Below are 8,361 nucleotides of genomic sequence, written 5' to 3'. Positions count from 1 at the left end.
TCTCAATCGTTACTAAAATGCAAACATAAACATCATGCCTAGAAAAAGAGCCCATGAGACTCTTCCTTCTCAAAATCAAAGAAACAATATCCATTTAACTTCTCATGAAAATTCTTCCTACTGGATCATTCAAAGTTTAGAGCTTAACAAATAATTTTGATAAGAGTAGTAAAATCATCTACACAACTTCCAAATTTAAGCTGCTGTCTAGTTCCAAGCATTCTATGTTTGTTTAGTTAATTTCTTTGTACCCACACTAAAAAACATAAAACTAATCATTTATTTAATATGATTAATGTAGCTTAATCCAAGTAAGCTAGTTTCCTTACTCAGAAGTTGGTAATACTAAATCTTTTACTTTAGTGCCTACTTCTTCATACCATTTTAATTATTTGCATGCTTTATCAAGGCAAATGGTTTGCCTGGAAACAACCAATACCTTACAAGTTTGAATTTTATCATACAATGCTACATTGCTGGTATGTTAGTCAGTAACTACCACAGTAGTCGACCAAGCAGTCAGAGTAATTACGGAGAAGCACATGGCTATTCTTGAATTATCAACATCTTAGATGAAGCTGGTCAGCATCTGCTTCCAGAACTGTCCAAACATAAAATGCATTTCCCACAAAACTTTTAGAAAGCTAAATAATAAAACTAGCTAGGCTTAAAATAAACGCTACCTTAGTCTCAAAATACTCTTATTAAGAACACTACCAGGTCAGGTGCAGTGGCTCACGCCTGTAACTCCAGCACTTTAGGAGGCCTAGGCAGGCGGATCACTTGAGGTCAGTTCAAGACCAGCCTGGCCAACACGGTGAAAACTCATCTCTACTAAAAATGCAAAAATTAGGCAGACGTGGTGGCATGCGCCTGTAGTCACAGGTACTCAGGAGGCTGAGGCATGAGAATTGCTTGAACCCAGTAGGTGATGGTTGCAGTGAGCAGGGATCGTGCCACTGCACTCCAGCCTGGGCAACAGAGAAAGATGCTGTCAAAACAAACAAACAAAAAACAAACAAACCAAACCCAAAAAAACACTGTCTGCAATACTTTAACATGTATCTATTTTTAAATATGTATTTTTCTTCCTTGTAAAACTTTTGTTCTTAATTGTCTCTTGACTCTATACCTATATTTAAAATTACAGTAATCTTATACCTAACTTTATCAGTATTTGGTTTTATAGTTTTTCAATCATTTATACTGTTTTTATAAATATGATTTTAGAAATTCCATACTTTTTAGTTTAGTTGATATAATATACAATTGACACTTGTACAATGTAGGGGTTAGGGGGCCTGACCCTGTGTGCAGTTGAAAATCTGCATGTAACTTTTGACTCCCTCAAAACAAAACTGCTAATAGCTTGCTGTTCACTAGAAGCCTTACCAGTGACATAAATGTTCAGTTAACACATTTTTGTATGTTTACATATTATATAGTGTATTCTTACAATAAAGTAGGCTAGAGAAAAAAATATTAAGAAATCATAAGGAAGAGAAAAGATATTTACTATTCATTAAGTGGAAGTGGATCATCATAAAGGTCTTCATTCTCATCTTCACGTTGAGTAGGCTGAGGGAGGTCAGGAAGAGGAGGCGGAAGAGGAGGGAGGACAGACAGGTACTCCTGAAGTAATTTTACAGAAATATATTTTAATCCTGAGTTTTTACTTTTCCATTTCTCTAAAATTGTTTCTATACAGTACCAACTCTTCTTTTACCATTTGCTTTAGTTTCAGTGCCCGTGTCATAGAGGATTCCATGTCATAAAAGAATTCAAATCAGTCTTGAATAATTGGAGCCTTTCTATCAGATTCTCTCATGTCAATTTGTTTTCCTGCACTGCTTCCTCTATGTCTTCTTCCTGGTTGTCTGGCACTGGTTTGAAAGCATTTATCTCTATCAGGTCATCTTTCGTGAATTCCTCTGGTGTGGTGCCTATTAGCTCTTGAACTTCTCCAAGATTCATATCTTGAAATCCTTCACTCCCCACCTTTCCTTGCCATATCCATAATCTATGATTTTTCTTTCCTTCCTTCCTTCTTTCCTTCCTTCCTTCTTCCTTCCTTCCTCTCTCTCTGTCTCCTTCCTTCCTTCTTCCTTCCTTCCTTCTTTCTTCCTTCCTTCCTTCCTTCTTCCTTCCTTCCTCTCCCTGTCTCCTTCCTTCCTTCCTTCCTTCTTCCTTCCTTCCTTTCTCTCTCTGTCTCCTTCCTTTCTTCCTTCCTTCCTTCCCTCCCTCCTTCCTTCTTGTTTTGAGACGGAGTCTCCCTCTGCTGCCTAGGGTGGAGTACAGTGGTGCAGTCTCTGCTCACTGCAATCTCTGCCTCCCGAGTTGAAGCAATTCTTCTGCATCAGCCTCCTGAGTAGCAGGGGCCCCGCCACCATGCCCGGCTACTATTTTGGTATTTTTAGTAGAGACGGGTTTTCACCATGTTGGTCGAACTCCTGACCTCAAATGATCCGCCCACCTCGGCCTCTCAAAGTGCTGAGATTACAAGCGTGAGCCACCGCGCCCGGCCTATGATTTTCTTGATAGGCTGTGTTGCAAATTCTGTGAAATCATGCACAACATCTGGCCACTTTCCTGCAGCAGGAATGTATTGTTTCAGGCTTGGTGGCTTTCACAGCTTTTCCTATAGCCATGGTCGCAGTTTCAGTGGTGTAATCCTTCCAGAATTTCACGATGTTCTCTCTATCAGGATTTTCTTCCACAGTGTTGACAATCCTCTCCATAGAGTACCATGTGTAATAAACCTTAAAGGTCCTTATGGCCCCCATCTAGAGGCTGAATTAGAGACAGTTTCAGGGTAAGTAGACCACTTCAAGGACTTGAGACGGATGGAGGGAGGGGGAGAATGGGGGAAGAAGGGAGGGAAAGAAGGATGAAGATAAAAATAAAACTATCAAGATGAAGCAGAATTTCACACAAAGATATGTATTTTTAATTGGGTACTGTATCCTTATAAATAAAATTGTATCTATGCTTTCCTTAAATGCTAAATTTTATTTTCATTACAGTTCACCAACATACAAGAAACAAAGAAGCATGAGACAGACTCTCAGACCCTTGTATCTTTTCTATATAAAAAGAACTGAAATGCAGTATGTACTCCACTTGGGATTTCCCAAGTTCACATAATTAAATGATTGAAAAAATTAGTATTATTTTATGTTTAAAGAATACAACTCCCCTAGCAAATATTACTGACTCAGAGAACATGCTATTTATGTTAACTTAAATCTAAATTCCAAGTTACATCTTTATACAGATTTACACAGGATTTATTTTTCTAGCTAAAATAAATTCATGTTAAAATAGTAATGAATAAGTGTGCACAAGGGCCAAGCCCTAGCAGGTGTTATCTAGATCTAAGTAAAAATTTATTCCTAACAGAAATTGACGCTTTCAAATGTATAGTAACAACCTTTCACCTTTGCCATTTTCTCCTTTCTAAGAGAAGAAAGGTTGTCACTAAAAAAGCCTTTAAAGAGAAAGACAACTTCAAGCAATAAATTTTTCTTTTTCTCCCTGTCAGTGTGAAGTCCCATTTGGAAGCTGGATTTTCTAAAAGGCAAGGAGTTAGAGGGAGAGGTTAAGGGCAGGGGAGTGAGTGAAGTAGGGAATGAAAAGATTGAGGGAGGAGACAGGGTCTCATTCCCAACATGCCACTGTTACTAAATTCTAGGAGAAGAAGAAAAAAACTAAAAACTGTAGAGATTCTCAGGAGTGTGGGACTTTGAAAAATGAATAAAACATTGCATTTGAAATCCCTTTGTGCACTACAACAGAGAGATAAAAGTTTCATCATAAAACAAAGATTTGACAACTTCAGCAAAAATGTCCATGGAAACAATTTACAAAGAATTGTAAATAAAATTATTTTAAAAAAGACTCTAGAAACAAAGTTTGCTATATGTGTTTGAAGTGTGATGGGATGTTCTCTGTTGAAAAATGAGTCTTTTAAATTAATGATTATATAAATTTAGATTAGCAATTATTTATGTAATTTATTCTATGCAAATTAGAAATTATATGTCCTATCAACAGTTTCGGTTTGATCATAGCAGATTTGTGAGAAAACCAATTTTTGGATATAGTTTATCGGTAGTAGTTCATGTCTTTCAATCTATTTACTGCACCACCCCCCGACAAAAAATTCCAATTCGAAAACAGAATTGGTAGTTTAACAATTGTTAGAGTGTTAAGTTTTCCCAAACGGGTTTCGAACTTGTCAAAATATTACAAATTGTTTATTATGTTGATTTTTGAAGAGTTTTTTTCTGTTAAGTATGTTTTGCAAACATAATGTATTTTTACTACATTATAAATGATCCACAAATTATATTTTACATAACATACTTACATTAAGATAAATGATATCTACTATTTAAATATTTGTAGTTAATACTTAAATCTAAAATGGCATGGTTGAAAATAAATACCCAATGGTTAATTGCATTAGTTCCTTTTAAAATCTCACTTAGAAGAATATGATGTGAACAAATGATGGATGGTGACATATGGATTTTCCTACTACAAAATTGGAACATACATGTTAGAGAATGTTACAATATTTAAACTATCACTAGTGAGTATTTACAAAGAAATATTGGTTCAAAATATTTATAGTATGTGTTCAGGATATTAAATAAAATTACTGACATATTAGCTTTATGTCTTACAAAAATAATTTTTACTAAAATTTAATATTAATATTTAAATATTTAAAATTTATTTTAATCATTACGGAGTAGGATGTCGTTGGTAAAATATAAAAGTAAGAATTCTAGTGTCATTCAAATACTAGTTCTGCCAAACACAAAGGACCATTGACTAAGCATGTTACATAAATCTTATTTGGTCTCAGTGTCACCATTGGCAAAATGAAGATAATAATACTAATTCCCTGATTGTGGTGTTCTAAAGATTAAATGAGTTAATAAATGTAGATTTTTCATGAAGAAGTCCTAAAAATTAACAATTATTTGTTCAGAATGGGGCCTGAGAAGAAGCAAACATGATTAGATTGTGAAAATATATGATTCATCTGCTGAATAATTTGAAACTCCGGAAATAAAAGAGGAACTAAAGTTTAATCTTTAAAATGAAGTAAAATTTTTAAGTATATTTTTCTCTAGGATAATCATGTTTGATTTTATACTCACTCTATCAGATACCAAAATCCTGTTAGGGGAGGTACAGAGCCAGAATAGTTATTCTGACCATGATACTAATAAGAATAACAAGAACAGGAAGGTGGGGGATGATAACGGAAAGAGGAACAAGGAGACATCTGAGGAGGAGATGAAAAAGGAGGAGAGTGACATGGAGGAAAAGGGAGGAAGAGGAATGGCATATGGTGTACCTACAGCCATGGAGCCAAAGTCGGTCTGATTGTTTCTGTAAATAAAGTTTTATTGGAACAGAGCTGTTTTCTTTTCACATTGTCTAAGGTTGCTTTACAGCCACACAGTTAGCACTGAGTAGTTATGACTGAGACCAAATGGCACAAAGGCCCATAACTTACTGCATTCGTTTCCCATGGCTGCCATAACAAAGTACCACAATGTAGATGGCTTAAAACAATGGAGATTTTTTCTCTCACTATTCTGGACGCTGGAAGTCTGAAACCAAGGTGTTTGTAGGTTAATTCCTTCTGGAAGGCTCTGAGGAATAGTGTGTTTCATGGCTTTTTGTAAGCTCCTGCTGTTTGCTAGCAATGCTTGGTGTTTTGGCTTGGAGGCATATAACCCCTATGATGGCATGACACGACATTCTGCATGCCTGTCTGTGTACCCTTTCTTCTCTCTGAAAGAACACCAGTTACATTGCATTAAGGACGCACCCTACTCTGGTATTACTGTATCTTAACTAATAACATCTGCAACAAACCTATTTCCAAATAATGTCACCTTCTGAGGTTCTAGGAAGGATATGAATTTTGGGAGGACACTATCTAGTCCACTGCACTTCACAAAATAAATTTGCTGACGTCATGGTTATGTTACTGTACAAAATATGGGAATATATTATTAAATGTTGTATGTTTATGCCCAAATCCCAAAATGAGTTGTGTATCTTTATAAGTGCCCACCATATGTTTAGCTACACATCAGCTATTGTCCCAATGATACTAAAAAAATTAGTTAAAAAGTACGATACATAGTAAAGACAGATATTTGGTACTATGAAAATAAAAAAAAACAAAATGACTCATTTCTATGTTAGAGCAATAAAATTACTTTAATTAACGTACAGATAAAAGGTGAAAAATGTCAAGCATCCAAACTTTAGAGCATTTTATTGGAAGCATTTTAGTTGTTTATATTTTTGCTCAACTCCCTGCTTGATGTCAAACAAAGTGGAAAACTGGGTGATATACATATATACACACACTCACACGTGTGTGTGTATATATATATATTAGATATATATATATATTTTACATATAATTATATACAATTAAAGAAAATAAACCTTTTATTATTATTCAGATTATATTTTTAATTTTCCAACTAGCATAAGATAATCATGAAGAATTTATTGATTTACTGTTATCTAGCTAAGGTTTTAATATTATATTTCTGCTAAAATATATCAAGGAATGCACATTTGTAAAATTATTTATGTTGAAGAACCACAATTTCTGTCATAAAACACAAATTTTAAAAAAAAGTGAGTTTTTTTTTTTAATGAGACAAGCCATGCAGAAAAGCAGAAGGAAAAGAGTGAAAATACCCAACATTCTACCCTCACTTGCCCAGAAATCACGACAGCCAACATTTGAAAATGTCATTCCATGTTTTGATACAAATATAAGCAGATAAAAAAATGAAGAGAAATAATTTTACCAAAAATTGAGATCACACTACACATACTACTTACTAAATATATTGTTTCTAATTTTAATTACTTTAAAAGAAGAAACAGAAACACAAAGAATAAAAAATTTTGAACCTCAGTTAAGTGTTTATTCACAGTATTATTTACAAAAAGCAATAATTATTAAAAATAGTAATAAAATAAAATTATGAAAAACTAAACGGTTGAATTCACTGAGTATTCTTTTGTATTTCAATAAAGTGTTCTTTGTTAATTTTTACAAGTTGTGTGAAATAAATTTTATTAGGCTTTTTAAATTTATTTTATAGATTTTAATTGACAAATAAAAATTGTATATTTTTCATATTTAACATGTTATGCTAACATATATATGGATTGTGGAATGGCTAAGTCAGAAATTCTTTTACATTCATATTTCCATATTATTTACTTTTTGCTTTAAAAAATATGTAAATGAGAATACTTATTTTTTTCAGTGTCACTGCCTTGATACTTTCACATTTTTGTTACATATTATTTTCCTTTCATCTAACAAATATATATTGAGTTTCTATAATGTGTCTGACACTGAGATGTTTGTGTTATGCATTACTGATTTATTTGTATTCTCCACACATTCTTGTTTTTGTCTTTGATTATTGTTGTCTTCTCTAACTATATTAAGTGAATTTAAAAACCACCAATTGTCCTGTTTACCATTGATTACCAAACTTTAGCTCATGTTTGATAGGACTATTTTTCTCAAGTTTTTTTTTTCAAGAATGAGACAGGGGTTCTACAGTCTGAGTTTTGTGTATTTGAGAAACTGTCTTGATAATCTGCGGTATCTGAATTAAATCTCGATTGTGTATAAGTGGCTCACACTTTCTTTGACTTCTATAGAGATTGTTCCAGGATTATTTTATCAAGAGGATTTATCCAGATCATACTGATGCTTACCTTATCATATCCATTTTGCTTTGAATAAAACTTTGCATACATTTTAGGTAATTTCATTTTTCTGACTGAATATTCAGGAGATCTTTTTTATTATCTACAGAGTTCAGTTATTACCAGTCATATCTTATTGCTCAGTCTGTATCAATTTTCCTTGGACATTACCTTCTTTTTTGATCAAGAGTCCAAATCTTCTTTATATCAAGAAAATTTAGATTAGTTTGTCTGTTATTCTTATTCTCTTTCTATCCTTTTTTTACAAAATATACATATTATTTTTTTCATTCATCTTTCATATCTACCATTTCTCCTTATTTTCACATTTTTATTTAATAATTAATGAATTATAAATTCTCCTCCAGCCTGTTTACTATATTTCCATTGGTGATTTTATTTGTTTTGGGGCTGCTATAATAGAGCTATTACATTTATGACATTTTCATTTTTTTCTCTTTTATTTCTTTCCACTGTTTTGCAAGTTACTTTCATCTTTCAATTGACCTGCTATTGTCTGAATAATAATAAGTTATTTGCAGCCTGGTCTCAATAAACGTAGGTCAGATTTCTTGATTTAAA

The 8,361-nt window shown here is 33.2% G+C and overlaps 1 long non-coding RNA gene across 1 annotated transcript; it reads left to right on the top strand.

The window, feature by feature from the left end:
- Positions 1-1,523: 1,523 nt before the first annotated feature.
- LOC105372170 (uncharacterized) lies at positions 1,524-3,191 on the top strand. The gene is made up of 3 exons (XR_935584.2): positions 1,524-1,911; positions 2,705-2,812; positions 3,024-3,191. It is a non-coding gene; the product is annotated as an uncharacterized LOC105372170 (long non-coding RNA).
- Positions 3,192-8,361: the final 5,170 nt, after the last annotated feature.

This window comes from Homo sapiens, chromosome 18 (genome assembly GCF_000001405.40).
Source record: "Homo sapiens chromosome 18, GRCh38.p14 Primary Assembly".
Lineage (NCBI taxonomy): Eukaryota > Metazoa > Chordata > Mammalia > Primates > Hominidae > Homo > Homo sapiens.
The sequence above is the reverse complement of the archived record's forward strand: the minus strand, read 5'-3'. Positions and strand labels throughout refer to the sequence as shown.